Consider the following 15,203-nt stretch of genomic DNA (forward strand, 5'->3'; position numbering starts at 1 on the left):
CAGGTTGGTGTGCAGTGGCATGATCTCAGCTCACTGAACCTCCACCTCCCAGGTTGAAGCTCTTCCCCTGCCTCAGCCTCCCAAGTAGCTGGGACTACAGGCGTGCGCCACCATTGCCTGGCTAATTTTTTGCATTTTAGTAGAGACGGGGTTTCACCATGTTGGCCAGGGTGATCTCAATCTCCTGACCTCATGATCCGCCAGCCTTGGCCTCCTAAAGTGCTGGGATTACAGGCGTGAGCCCCGCTCCCAGCTATTCCCCTATTAATTGCCAAAGCAGTTCTACACATAATTCCCAGATCTGCTTGGAAGGTGGCATTTTTTCTACCTGATTTGTTTTTTCTACTGTAGATGGTTTGTAGACATTATTCCCACAGAGTGGGCTTCAGGATATTCATTTATTCAATCACCAGATAATTATTGAGTGCCTACTATTTGCCAGACTTTGTATTTGTTTTATATATATGAATAAATTCTTGGTACTTGTGAGGTGTGTGTGTGTGTGTGTGTGTGTGTTTGTGTGTGTGAATAAATATGTGAGCAGACAGTAGATAAATAAATTATATATTATGTTACTGGATAGTAAGGGCAATGCAAAAATAAGAAAAAGGGTAAGGGAAATGAGGGTTAAGAGTGGAGAATGTTACAGCTCTTTTAGAATTTGTCTAGTAGGCTTTCTGGGAGGTCTTTACCAGAAAGCCTCCCCACCGCTCCCCTCAAACTCCCATGTTAAAAAAAACTTTTTTTTTTTTTTATGAGTGAATAGGTAGTTGGATTTTTTTTTTTTTTTTAAGAGACGGGGTGGGCTGGGCACTAGTGAGTCACGCCTCTAATTCCAGCACTTTAGGAGGCTGAGGCAGGTGGATCACCTGAGGTCAGGAGTTTGAGACCAGCCTGGCCAACATGGTGAAACCTCATCTCTACTAAAAATACAAAAATTAGCCAGGCGTGGTGGCACACGCCTGTCATCCTAGCTACTCAGGAAGCTGAGGCAGGAGAATAGCTTGAACCCAGGAGGTGGAGGTTGCAGTGAGCTGAGATCACACCACCATATTCCAGCCTGGGTGTCAGAGCAAGACTCCGTCTCAAAAAAAAAAAAAAAAAAAGACGGGGTCTTACTCAGCCTCCCAAAGGCTGGGATTACAGGTGTGAGCCACCATGCCTGGCCCAGGTAGTTGGAATTTTAAATAAGATGGTCAGGGGAAGTCTCATTTAGAAGGTGACATTTGATCGAGGCCCAAGAATAAGGGAGTCAGCCGTGCAATATATAGAAGATAAATCCAGGTAGAAGACTTTTTTTGTTTTTGAGATGGAGTCTCGCTCTTCCACCAGGCTCGAGTGCAGTGGTGCAATCTGTGCCTCCTGGTTTCAAGCAATTCCCCTGCCTCAGCCTCCCGAGTAGCTGGGACTACAGATGCGCGCCACCATGCCCAGCTAATTGTTGTATTTTTGGTAGAGACGGAGTTTCACCATGTTGACCAGGATGGTTTGATCTCCTGACCTCGTGATCCGCCCGCCTAGGCCTCCCAAAGTGCTGGGATTACAGGCACTTTTGTGAGCCACTGCGCCCGGCCAAGGTAGAAGAATCTTTCAGTGCAAAAGCCTTAAGTAGGACTAGTGTGTCTAGCCCTTTCACAGACTAACAAGGAGGCCACTGTGGCTGAAGTAGACTGATCAAGGAGAGGAGGAGGTAAAGGGAATGGGGGAAATATAATGTAGGGCAATGTGGAGCACTGTAAAGGCTTTGGCCTTTGAGTGAAATCCAGAGCCGTCGCAGTTTTTTGTTGTTGTTTTTTTGAGACAGTCTCACTCTGTCATGCAGTGTGAGTGCAGTGATGTGATCATGGCTCACTGCAGCCTCGAACTCCTGGGCTCAAGCAGTCCTCCTTCCTCAGTCTCCTGAGTAGCTGAGACTACAGGCTTGCACCGCCATGCCTGGCAAATTTTTAATTTTTTTGTAGAGACAGGATCTTGTTGCCCAGGCTGGTTTTGAACCCCTGGATGCAAACAATCCTCCCACCTTGTCCTCCCAAAGTGTTGGGATTACAGGCGTGAGCCACTTCGCCTGGCTAGTATTACAGAGTTTTGAGCAGAGAAGTGACACTATCAGACTTAAGCATTAAAAGAATTGTCCAATGAATGGCTGTGCTGAAAATATATTTGAGGTAAAGTAAGCTAGAGGCAGGGGTATTGAAATCAGGCTAAGAGATGTTTGTGGTTTGAATTAAGTGGTAGCAGGAGGTGTTAAGAATTAGTCACATTGTGTATGTATTTTGAAGGTACAACCAACAGGATTTCCAGGCAAGATAGAGTGTGATGTGAAAAAGAAAGAAAGGAGTCAGTAGTGACTCAGGAGTTTGTCTGAGCATCCGAAGTGTGGAATTTCATCACATCTGAGAGGTGAAAGGCTGTAGGAGGAGCAATATGTGGGAAAGATCAGAAGTTCAGTTTTGGACATGCCAAATATTACTTGGCCAAATGGTTGGGTGGATGATTGGGGATCAGGAGTCATCCTGATAAAATTGGCATGCAGATAGTATTAAAAACTCCAGACTGGATGAGATCACCAAGTGTAGATAGAAAAGAGAGACTGAATTGTGAGTGCTCCAGCATTAAGCAGTTTGGGAAACCAGAAAAGGAAAATGAACAAGAAAGATAAAAGGAAACCCAGGAAAGTAATTAAGGAGGAGTGATCAACTGTAAAATATTGTTAGTGAGACATTTAAGAAAATTGTCCACTAACCAGTGGATTTAGCAATTGGAGTTCGTTGGTGATCTTGATAAATGCAGATTAGGTTTAGTGGTGGGACAGAAAGCTTGGAGTAGATTTGAGAGATAATGGGAGGGAGACAGCTGTTTTAAGGACTTTTATTACAAAGCACAGCAAATTTTTAAATGGTATTGGAACTGGGAGGGTAAGTGGAATAAAGAATAAATTTTAAAAGGGAGAAATATCAGTGTATTTATATTTGTATGCTGGTGGGAATGATCCATTATTAGCAAATAAAAAGTTGATGTAGATGATAGGAGAAAGGGGAGAATTGCTCAAGTGATGCTCTTGAGTAGGTGATCAAATGGCAAATGTGGTATATAAATAGACCAGAGCATGGATAGTTCCATCTATGATAACAGGTGGGAGTTCAGGGTGTGTACATGTACATGACAGTAGGTAACTGGTGGGACCCTGGAAATTCCCTATTGTTTTCAGTTTTATAAGTGCAACAAGAAGCAAGGTCATTGAGTGTGAGGGAGGGAAAACTCAATGTAGGGTTGAGGTGAGAAGATATGAAATAGTTACTGGGAGAGTCAGAGAATGAAATAGACTGGGGATAATGTCTGGTAGCATTTGTAGCGTACTCAAGATCAGCCAGCATGGTTGTGGATTTTTCTTTGTCTTTGCTTTCTTCCCTATGTAGGCACAGATTTGGTGGGGATTACGTTGATTTTTTTTTTTTTTTAATTACAGTGAAGCCAGAGAAGGGCTAGAGAACCAACTATATCTGAGGGAGTGATTATATTTTTTTTTCTCTTTCCTCTTTTTTTCTTTTTTTGAGATGGAGTCTCACTCTGTTGCCCAGGCCGGAGTGCAGTGGCGTGATCTCAGTCACTGCATCCTACGCCTCCCGGATTCAAGCAATTATCCTGCCTCAGCCTCCTGAGTAGCTGGGATTACAAGCACGCGCCACCATGCCTGGCTAATTTTTGTATTTTTAGTAGAGACGGGGTTTCACCATGTTGAGCAGGCTGGTCTCGAACTCCTGAGCTCAGGTGATCTGCCCGCCTCGGCCTCCCAAAATGCTGGGGTTACATGTGTGAGCCACCGCACTGGGCCAGATTATAATTTTTACAGTTGAAGCTGGGTAATGAAGGGAGAGAGGTTGTCAGAGGGTTGAGGGACAGTAAAAAGGTAATAGAATCAATGGATAGGAAATCCTGGTGGAGTCAAAATTTTTGGAGTAAGTATAACATATGTAAATGTCTTTTAGCTCATCAAGAACTATAAAAATGTAGCTAAGGTTTGACAAAGCTAAGTGATACACCTCTTCTCTATACTTTTCTGTTAGTTGACATATTTCATTTATTTTTATGGCTGGGCGCGGTGGTTCACGCTTGTAATCCCGGCACTTTGGGAGGCCAAGGCAGGTGGATCACCTGAGGCCAGGAGTTCGAGACCAGCCTGGCCAACATGGTGAAACCCTGTCTCTGCTAATAATACAAAAAGAATTAGCTGGACATGGTGGCATGCACCTGTAATCCCAGCTACTCGGGAGGCTGAGGCAGGAGAACCACTTGAACCAGGAGGTGGAGGTTGTAGTGAGCCGAGATTGTGTCATGGCACTCCACCCTGGGCAACAGAGTGAAACTGTGTCTCAAAAAAGAAAAGAAAAAAAGAAAGAAATATTTCATTTATTTTTAAAAAACAAGCAGTTTTGTGATGGGTGGAAAAGCAACGTTGGGTGGAGACTTTATCCTCTCTGATGAAAGAGGATATTTAAAGTGCCTTTAGAAGTATTTCTAGGCCAGAGAGAATGCCAATATAAGCCCAAGCATCTTACTGTGGTCTAACACAGGTCTTTCTCACTGTTGCAGTCTTCCTTACTTAATGCCATCTCAGAACACTACCCTCATACCCAAAGCTGTCTGCATATATCTACTGTATTACTCAGATGTTCTCCCCATCCTGAGTTTCTTGAGGAATAACGACCATTGGGTGCTTACTAGGTGTCAGCCATTTTGCTAAGCACTTTGCTTACACTAATGTTAACCCTTACAGCAACAGAACTAAATATTATTATCCCTGTTTCACAGATGGGGGAAACAGAGAGGCTAGGGTTATCTGCCTTAGGCCCTACAAATGAGAAAGTGTTTGAAATACCTGGTCAGGCTTCCAGACTCCAGAGCACCACCTGACTCTTTTTAAATTGATTTTTTTTATTATTTAGTTTTTACTTTTATTAAAGTTATATGCACACACATTAGTGAATTTATTAATACGATAAAGGTCACAAAAAAGTCTGTGTACTTTCTTTTATTTCTTTTTCTCCTGAGAGACACCCACTTTAAATTTTCTTTGTTTTTTATTTTTTGAGCTACAAGTAAAACTGCTTTAAAATTATTTCTTTTTTTTTTTTTGAGACGGAGTCTCGCTCTGCTGCCAGGCTGGAGTGCAGTAGAGTAGCATGATCTCGGCTCATTGCAACCTCCAACTCCCTGGTTCAAGCGATTCTCCTGCCTCAGCCTCCTGAGTAGCTGAGATTACAGGCAGGCACCACCATGCCCAGCTAATTTTTGTATTTTTAGTAGAGGCGGGGTTTTACCATGTTGGCCAGGATGGTCTTGATTTCCTGACCTTGTGATCTGCCCGCCCTGGCCTCCCAAAGTGCTGGGATTACAGGCGTGAGCCACCGTGCCCAGCCTACCTTCCTATTTCTAAGGTACAGTCTTTTTACTAGTTACTTTTTCTCTTAATTTTACAGTCTAGTTACTTTTTCCCTTAATGTCTGATTTCTTAGTAATGAAAGTTAAGATTTAGTTTCTTTTACGTACTCCTTCTCCAAGCATGCACACAAACTTCCCACTTTAACTGCTCATTTTTTCCAGTATAATTACATTGAAATTTTGGTCACATTAGCATTCAATATATACGTTGTCTCTGTTAATGCTATTTTTTTCATTTAATTTTCTGTATGCTTATGACTAATTCAACCCCAAATTTTAGTTGTTTATATATCAATTTCATGTTTTAAAAAAAATCTCTTGTTGAGCCTTCTTAACTGCTCCATTCTGGACTGGTTGCTCTCTAGACCTGCCTGAATCCTACCAAGTTATGATGAAAATGGAAATTCTACCATCTTACGGTGGGAGACCCATTTTTATCATCCTGTAATTAACTTTTTGTGTTGGAGTCTCAGTATTCTAGATACCATATCATGCTCTTTCTTGGTTTACATCATTGTTTTGGTGGAATGAGAGGAGGCACAATAACAATTTTTTTTGTTTTGTACTTTTAGTGTCTGAAAATGTGTTTATTCTACCTACTTATTTGATAGTCTGGTTATTCTAGGTTGAAAATTATTGTCTCTCTGAATTTTGAAGGAATTTTTTCATTGCTTTCTTTGACACCTGTTGATAAATCTGGAGCCCTCTTTGTATGTGACCTGGTTTATGTCCCTGGAGTTTTGTAGAATCTTCTCTTTGATTCCAGAATTACACAGTTTTACTGCAGTGTGCTTTGCTGTGAGACTATTTGTCAACTCTTGTGTTGGTCACTCTTCAGCAACTCTTGTGAGTTCTCTTAATTTGAAAACTAGTATTTTTTAATTCTGGGAATTATTTATGGATTGCTTGGTTGAGGCAAAACATGCATAAAATGAAATTTACCACTTTTTAACCGTTGCTAAATGTACAGTTCAGTGGCATTAAGTACATTCACAGTGTTGTAGAGCCATCATCATTATTCATTTCCAGAACCTTTTTATTGTCCCAAATATAAATTCTGTACCCATTAAACAATAATGACCATTCCTCCTTCCTTCCAATCCCTGTCTAGCTTTTGTGTCTTTGAGTTTGATGGATTTTAGGTACCTCACTTAAGTGACATTATAAAATATTTCGTGTCTGGCTTATTTTACTTCACGTAATGCTTTCAGGGTTCAGGGTTGTTTTCACCTTTTAGCCATTGTGAATAACACTGCCGTGAATGTTGGTGTGCGAGTGTCTAAGTCTGTACTTTTACTTCTTTTGGGTATACACCTAGAAGTAGAATTGCTGGATCATACGGTAGTTCTGTGTTTAACTTTTCGAGGAACTGTATTCCACAATGGCCGCGCCATTTTACGTTCCCATCAGCAGTGCCCATTGGTCCCAGTTTCTCCATATCCTCACCAGTGCTTGTTATTTTTCATTTTAGAAAATGTTTTTGATTTAAAATAATCATTGGTTTCTTCTCCACTTTTCTGTGTGTGGGTGTGTGTATTTTTTTCTTTTTAAACTGGTCATTTAGACTTTGAACCTCTTGTACTACTATTACAGTTTTCTGATTACTTCCCTCCTTTTTATAAATGTCTTTAAACAATGCACCTTTAAAAAAGAGTGTTAAATGGTGCCATCATTGAGTTAGTAGTTTTGTTTTATTTTAACTCCTCCTCTTCCCTCCAAATCTATAGTTTTTGTGTGTGTAGAATTTTCCAGGTAACGCAGAACACTTGCTGACTATTATTACTCAGGCTATGGAGATTCCTACCAGTTAGTGGACACATATTTTCCTCCAATTTCTTAGTCTTCAAGAATCCTAGCTCCATTTGATAACTATGAGTAGTGCTTTTTGAATAACTTCTTTTGGAGGGATGAGACTGCAGCAAGCTATAGTTTTGTTTTGTTTTTTAGAGACTGTTCCTCTTTTGCCCAGGCTGCAGTGCAGTGGCACAGTCATAGCTCACTGCAGCCTTGAACTTCTGGGTTCAAGCAATCCTCCTACCTCAGCCTCCCAGGTAGCTAGGATTATAGGTACATGCCACCATGCCTGGATAATTTTTAAATTTTTTGTAGAGATGGGATCTCGCTATGTTGCCCAGGCTGGACTCAAACTCCTGGGCTCAAGCAGTCTTCCTGCCTCAGCCTTCCAAAGTGTTGGGGTTACAGGCATTGGCTACTCTGCCTGGCCCTAGTTTTGTTCTTAAAAAAAAAAAAACATTTCCAACAGTTCAGATCATTGGTCTGGGCAAAGGTAGGTGAGACCTCAAAAGCACAGGGAACGAAAGCAAAAACAGATGAATGGGATTACATCAAGCTAAAAAGCTTCCGCACAAGGGAAGAGTCAGTAGAGTGAAGAAAATGAAATGGGAGAAAATATTTGCCAACTATCTTTCTGACAAGGGATTAATAACTAGAATATGTAAGGAATTCAACTCAAAAGCAAAAACACCAAATTATCCAATTAAAATGGGCTAATTATCTGAACATTTTCAGAAGACATACAGGTATGTGAAAATATGTTCAACATTAGTAATCATCAGGAAAATGTAAATCGCAACCACGATGAGATGTTATACACCCCAGTTAAATGACCATTATCAAAAAGACAAGCCAGGCATGGTGGCACACACCTGTAGTCCCAGCTACTCGGGAAGCTGAGGTGGGAGCATCACTTGAGCCGAGGAGGCAGAGGTTGCAGTGAGGTGAGATTGCATCACTGCACTCCAGCCTGGGTGACAGAGTGAGACCCTGTCTAAAAAAGGAAAGAAAAAGAAATGGCAGATTCTGGCAAGGGTGCAGAAAAAGGGAAACACTAGTACACTGCTAGTGGAAATGTAGATTGGTACAGCCACTATGGGAAACAGTGTAGAGATTCCTCAGAAACCTAAAAATAGGTCTACCATCTGACCTAGCAATCCCCACTGCTGGATAAATGTCCAAAAGAAAAGAAATCAGTGTGTCAAAGAGATACCTGCACTTTCTTTTTTTTTCCATTTTTGAGATGGAGTTTCGCTCTGTTGCCCAGGCTGGAGTGCAGTGGCACAATCTCGGCTCACTGCAACCTCTGCCTCCTGAGTTCAAGTGATTCTCCTGCTTCGGCCTCCCCAAGTAGCTGGGACTACAGGCACACACCACAACGCCTGGCTAATTTTTATATTTTTAGTAGAGACGGGCTTTCACCATGTTGGCCAGGCTGGTCTTGAACTCCTGATCCGCCCACCTCTGCCTCCCAAAGTGCTGGGATTACAGGCATGAGCCACTGCGCCCGGCCAATACCTGCACTTTAATATTTATTGCAGCATTATTTACAGTAGCCAAGATAGAGAATCAATCTAAGTATCTACAAATGGATGCATGGATAAAGAAAATGGTGTATATATACGCACACACACAGTGAAATACAGTCCAATTCAGATATAAAAAGAATGAATGAAGTCCCATCCTTTGCACCAATGTGGATGGAACTGGAGGTCATTATGTTAAGTGAAATAAGCCAGGCACAGAAAGACAAATATCACATGTTCTCATGCATTATGTTGGAGCTAAAAAAGTTGATCTTAACGGAGGTAGAGAGTAGAATGAGGGTTATCAGAGGCTGAGAAGGGTGGGGGGCCAGGAATGAATAGAAATTGGTTACTGGGTACAAAAGTACAGTCAGATAAAAGGAATAAGTTTTAGTATTTGATAGCACAGTAGGATGACTATAGTTAACAATTTATTGTATATTTCAAAATAGCTAGAGAAGATTTGAAATGTTCCCAGCACAAATGATAAATGTTTGAAATGGATAGCCCAAATATCGATTTGACCAATACACGTTGCAAACATGTATGAAAAGTATCACATGTATCCCATAAATATGTATAATTATGTATCAGTACAAATTTCCAGTTTATCTTTTTAGTTTTGTCATATGTAAATGGAGATTCCCAGGAAGCGTTAATTCATTTAGTAGCGTTGACATGTTCATTTTCCATGTATTCAGTCCTTAAACCAAAGTACAAATTGTTCTTGTGATAGGTACTTTGCTTTTAATGATTTTTTTCTTCTTTTTTTGAAAGTATGAGATACATTCCAGATGCATTCCAGATAATTATTACTTACGTGATTGGCATTTTTAAAGTAGCACATAACTCTGGGATATACTTTAAAGTAGCAGTGAAAGTAATCTGTATATAAAATTACACAAAATAAACGAATACCAAAATATTAGCTAACATAGCAGACATTGTTAAGATACTTTTGTTTTACTGTCAAACTCAAGATTCTTCAGGATAAAACCTTTGTATTAAAATATACAGTAATCTCTCACCACTTGTGGCAGTGCTAACTCATTTTTATATTTCAGTAACAGATATTTTAAGCTTTAATCATTTACATATGTCTTTCAGTCTCCCTAAATTTAAAAATGAAATGATTATTGTCTTCTTTGCTGTATATCACATGGATTGGTCTTTGGGTTGGATAGAAGGGGGATTTTTTTTCCCCCTCCACTTAATACACAGACGACTACACCCAAGAAAAAAATTCTAGATTAGATCTTCATAGCACATTGTCCTGTACAACTGAAAGTGATTCATGAGATTTTAATGCTAATGAGTATATTTTTTTAAATGAATCATCTGTATATTAGGTTTAGATTATTTAGATTTCTCTTTCCCTCTTTCTTTAAAAAGATGTATATACATGTGCTACAAATCTTATTCCTCAAATTTTGTGACTTTGATCTTGGCAGTTCTGATTTCCCCAGCCTTATTATTTTAAGGTAACCAGTTAAGATGTTAACAAAAGGGATTGTGTATTGCAGTGTTCTCCACCAGGAACCACTTCCCTCCCATGGTTCATTTGGCAATGACTAGAGACTTTTTTTTACCACTTGGAGTGAGGATTGCTGCTAGATAGAGGTCAGGGATGCAAATATCCTACAGTGCACACAGACAGCAGCACATCACAAGCTAAAACCCTTTGGCTCAAGATGTCCATAGTGCTGAGTTTGAGAAACTCATTTATTGTTTATATTAAACACCTGCTTCTTGGCTTTACTTTAGTCAATATATTTCCAATTCCTTTTTCTGTAAGGTTCAGCTTAAAGTTCCAACTTTGTCCTGAGGCCCTTCCTTGTTGAGCCCTAAACCTACACTGTGATCTTTAGGTTCTCTTGTACCATCACTGAAATCTCGGCAATTAAGTGTTTATGATGTTTTATTTTCTATTTAATATCTGTAAGTCTGGTTTTCCAAATGAATTTTGTTTTATTGTTTTAAGCACACCTGCTGGCAGTAACAAAGTAATTTTGTTAGTCAAGGATTGTTACATATTTCTTCAGGACTTGCTAACTGCTGTTGACCTTCATGTTAGGGCTGAGTTGGTAGAATGAAAAAAAGGGCCCAGGTCCTACCAACCCGGTCCTGTCTGACACATGTGGGGGTGAAGGGATAGATCAGTCCCTTTTGATGGCAGATTGGAATTGGTTATCAACTAGATTGTAGAGGGGGTGGTAAAAAGCAGGAGCAAAAGTGGTGAGAAAAGTGACACTCTAGTTTCAGGGAGGAAGGTAGATCCACTTCAGCCATTAAGCTAGTACAAGTTAAAAAACTCAACATCTCTTTGTTGGCTGTGGTCATTGTGAGCCGTGCTGTTAGAAGAGTCATCTTTGGTACAGCACTGACATAGAAGGGAGGAGTCTATGTTGGTATAGTAATAGATTCTAGGGACATTTTTTTTTCTTTTTGTTTTTTCTTTTTTTTTGGAGATGGAGTCTCACTCTGTCACCCAGTGGAGTGCAGTGTCACCCAGGCTGGAGTGCAGTGGCATGATCTTGGCTCACAGCAACCTCCACCTCCCAGGTTCAAGCAATTCTCCTGCCTCAGACTCCTGAGTAGCTGGGACTACAGGTGCGTGCCACCAAGCCTGGCTAATTTTTGTATTTTTAGTAGAGACAGGGTTTCACCATTCTGGCCAGGTTGGTTTCAAAATCCTGACCTTGTGATCCGCCCAGCCAGGGACATTTTCTATAAGGGCTCAAAGGCTAAAAATTAAGCACAAGTCAGGCTAACCGGAATATACTGTTGGTTGGACTTTTTGTTTTAATTGGTAGGGAGAGGTGGATGAATAGGTAGTAATTTGAATCTTTAGGCATTTTTAGAATCCTTATCATGAATATGTAAGTTGCCAAGAAAGAAACCCAGGTTTACACTGAGCTATTGTCTGAAAGTTTGTGTTACCTTCTGAAGCTTTCTTTTTCATCTGATTGGATCCTTTATGTGTACAACCATTTAGCACTCTAATTTGAAAAATTTGTCACTTTCAGTGGCAAATACTTTCCCTTCAGAATTTTTGTCAAAACTTTATTGTTTCAAAGCAGGTACTATGCCATCTTCAGATAGAAGTTTATGAGCAAGAAAATATGTAACACTTCAAGGATAATTTCAAAATAGGAAACATGAGAAATATTTTAGTGTCATTTCATTTATATAAAAAACAATACTTTTTTTATGAGACTGAGTTTTGCTTTTGTTGCCCAGGCTGGAGTGCAGTGGCGCCATCTTGGCTCACTGCAACCTCGGCCTCCCAGGTTCAAGTGATTCTCCTGCCTCAGCCTCCTGAGTAGCTGGGATTACAGGCATGCCCCACCATGCCAGCTCATTTTTGTATTTTTAGTAGAAATGGGGTTTCACCATGTTGGCTAGGCTGGTCTCAAACTCCTGACCTCAAGTGATCCATCCACCTGGGCCTCCCAAAGTGCAGGGATTACAGGTGTGAGCCACCATGCCTGGCCAAAAACAATACTTTTTACCTTTGAAGCAGTCAGTACAAAATGAGAATCCAAAAATTCTGTTCATAATTGTATCACATAATTTACCTTTTCCATAACACAAAAATAAGCAAAAGACAGATAATTTTAGAGAGGTGGGGAATGGGCCCATGGTTCTTAACTGGGGACAATTTTTGACTCCCAAGGAACATTTGATAATGTTGGGAGACATTTATGGTTGTCACAACTGGAGTGGGTGGTGTGCTGCAGGTTTCTAGTGGGTAGAGGCCAGGGATGTAGCTCCACATCCTCCAGTACAAAGGACATCCTCCTGTGACAAAGAATTCTATCCAACTTGAAAATGTCAGCAGTGGCCGGGCCTGGTGGCTCACGTCTGTAATCCCAGCACTTTGGGAGGCCAAGGCGGCGAATCACCTGAAGTGTCAGGAGTTTGAGACCAGCCTGGCCAACATGGCGAAACACCGTCTCTACTAAAAATACAAAAATTAGCCAGGCATGGTGGCAGGTGCCTGTAATCCCAGCTACTTAGGAGGCTGAGGCAGGAGAATTGCTTGAACCAGGGAGGCGGAGGTTGTAGTGAGCCGAGATCGCCATTGCACTCCAGCCTGGGCGACAAGAGTGAAACTCTGTCTCCAAAAGAAAAAAGAAAATGTCAGTAGTGCCAAAATTGAAGAAGCCCTGGGATGAGGGATTGCAAAGGACCTGTTAACACATAAAACAAGTGTCTTGTGGTCAAAATCAGGTAAAAATATTCCATTTCACTAGCAATGAAGGAAATGTAAATTAAACTGTTTCTCTACTAGCATATTGACAGAATTTTTGAAAGGTTATCATACTCAAATGTAACATGTTGCTTTATATTACTGATGACACTACAAAGTATGGTACATGGTGTCTGGGGAGTTTCTGAAGGTTGAAACAAAAGTCTTGACGTATGTACTTCATACTTCGGACTCAATAATTTCACTTACAGAAATCTATCCTCAGGTGATAAATAGATGCCTACAGGGTTTATTATTAGGCTGTTAATCACATAACTACATAATTATTTTTAATTGTAATGAAGTAGATGTGACCTAATTTTTTTTTTTTTTTTTTTGGAGACAGTCTTGCTCTGTCACTCAGGCTGGAGTGCAGTGCAGTGGCATAACCTTGGCGCACTGCAACCTCTGCCTCCTGGGTTCAAGCGATTCTTCTGTCTCAGCCTGTCTGTAATTCCAGTAGCTGGAATTATAGGCGCTCACCACCATGCCTGGCTAATTTTTGTATTTTTAGTAGAGGTGGGATTTTACCATGTTGGCCGGGCTGGTCTTGAACTGCTGATCTCAGGTGATCTGCCTGCCTCAGCCCCCGAAAGTGCTTGCATTACAGGCGTGAGCCATCGCACCCAGCCCTAAATATTTTTTTAAACTGTGATTAATAAATTATGGCACAAATACGTGGTGCAGTTAAAAATCTTGCCCTCAAAGACTGTTTGTCCCATGCAAATACCCGTAGTGAGTAAGGAGGAGGGAAAAAGGAATATTAGGATGTCAAATTTGAAAAATATATTAAAATGTTACTTTAGTGATGATGGTTGACTGCAGATTATGGATACATACTTCTATGTCTTTATTATTTCTTATAATGGCTGTACTATTAATGTAATCAGAAAAAACACATTATTTAGTTTTTAAATCCTATTAACATTTTGGAGTAGTCTCAATATTTTTCAGTTTACTGACTAATCTGTCCTTTACCATATATCAGATTTTCATATATGTGTGGGTGTGCTTCTCCGCTCTCTTCTGTTCCACTGATCTATTTTAATGTTCAGTTAGTCGACAAGATGTAATATGATGTGGAATGATAATGTAAAAGAATCTCTTGTTTCGTGCCCCATTTATAGAGAGAGTAATTTGTGTTTTAAAATTAGTCCTTTTAAAAATGTCATAATTTTATGTAAGCAACTCAGTGTTTTCTTACTTTTGCAGATCTTTCACTTATTTAATTCAGTATTCAGATTAAATATACTTGTTTTGTTTGCCTCAGTCATATAATTAAGACTGAATTATTTGACATTTTAAGTCATCTGATTGAAATATCTGCCTTTTAAACATTAAGTGTATTTTAAGCCTGTCACCTTTAATGAATGATCATCTCCATTAGATTTTATTTATTCATTCTTCTCAGATTCCCGTTTGATGTTTATAAATGGTGCAGTATTTGCTATCCTTTGGAGTAGCTAATAGTAGTAGGACTCTCCTGAGCTTTGTTGTGCTCTTAGTGTTCCTCACACTTTGTGTGCAATGCAGATAGGCTGAGTAGAGAGTAATCTTAGTAGAACTGGAAATGTTAGGAACCAGTACGTTAAGGTGGTTGGCCGCTGGCCACTAAATTGTTGTAGCACCACTTGGGAAAAGAAAAGATGGATTTTCTGTCCTTAAGCCTCTGGAAAATACCTTTAGCCTTTAGAGAATTGTGAGAGAAACATGTTTGAATATGAACTTGTGAGTTCCTATGGAGAAAAAAGGTCAATGTAAAATCTAGCACCAGGATATATTTATTAGAGATATGAATTGTACTTTCCTACAGGAGAAACTGCAAAAATGGGAAAATGGAAGGGGAGAAGAAAAAGGAAGTGAAGGGAGGTGAAGCTACTTAGTTAATGGTGATTAATTTCAGTACATTATTGAGTTAATTTCAGTAAAGTAGATTTAAATTTTGAGTATGTATTTTATTGGAGGGGATTTTATGTGGAGAAATTTGTTCTGAAGTTGAAAATGTGTTTATGTCTTATGAGCATCTTTTTAGAATAATTTGATTTTCATATTGAAAGCCAAGGGTTTTTTTGTTCTCATTTCTACTCATCCAGTGAGTGTACATTCCTAAGAAATTGTTTTTGTTGCCAAGTTTTTAGTTGATTTGCGCATGGCCTGTTTTTTGTGCCTGAATATAATTTCTTTTTTTTTTT

The 15,203-nt window shown here is 39.9% G+C and overlaps 1 protein-coding gene and 1 pseudogene across 4 annotated transcripts in view, besides 2 other annotated features; both read left to right on the top strand.

Moving 5' to 3' along the window:
- The window catches only part of PPP4R2 (protein phosphatase 4 regulatory subunit 2), a 72,456-nt gene that overhangs the window by 30,427 nt on the left and 26,826 nt on the right, over positions 1–15,203 (top strand). The window lies entirely within an intron of this gene.
- On the top strand, positions 642–701 carry RNU7-19P (RNA, U7 small nuclear 19 pseudogene; annotated as a pseudogene).
- Positions 1,106–1,606: an enhancer, noted in NCBI's record as "H3K27ac hESC enhancer chr3:73077426-73077926 (GRCh37/hg19 assembly coordinates)". NCBI's record gives its function as "activates a minimal SCP1, AML or CMV promoter by ChIP-STARR-seq in naive H9 embryonic stem cells {active_cell/tissue: H9 hESC(naive)}" and the evidence as "EXISTENCE:reporter gene assay evidence [ECO:0000049][PMID:30033119]".
- Positions 1,607–2,107: an enhancer, noted in NCBI's record as "H3K27ac hESC enhancer chr3:73077927-73078427 (GRCh37/hg19 assembly coordinates)". NCBI's record gives its function as "activates a minimal SCP1, AML or CMV promoter by ChIP-STARR-seq in naive H9 embryonic stem cells {active_cell/tissue: H9 hESC(naive)}" and the evidence as "EXISTENCE:reporter gene assay evidence [ECO:0000049][PMID:30033119]".

The sequence above is a fragment of the Homo sapiens genome, chromosome 3 (assembly GCF_000001405.40).
Source record: "Homo sapiens chromosome 3, GRCh38.p14 Primary Assembly".
Taxonomy (NCBI): Eukaryota; Metazoa; Chordata; class Mammalia; order Primates; family Hominidae; genus Homo; species Homo sapiens.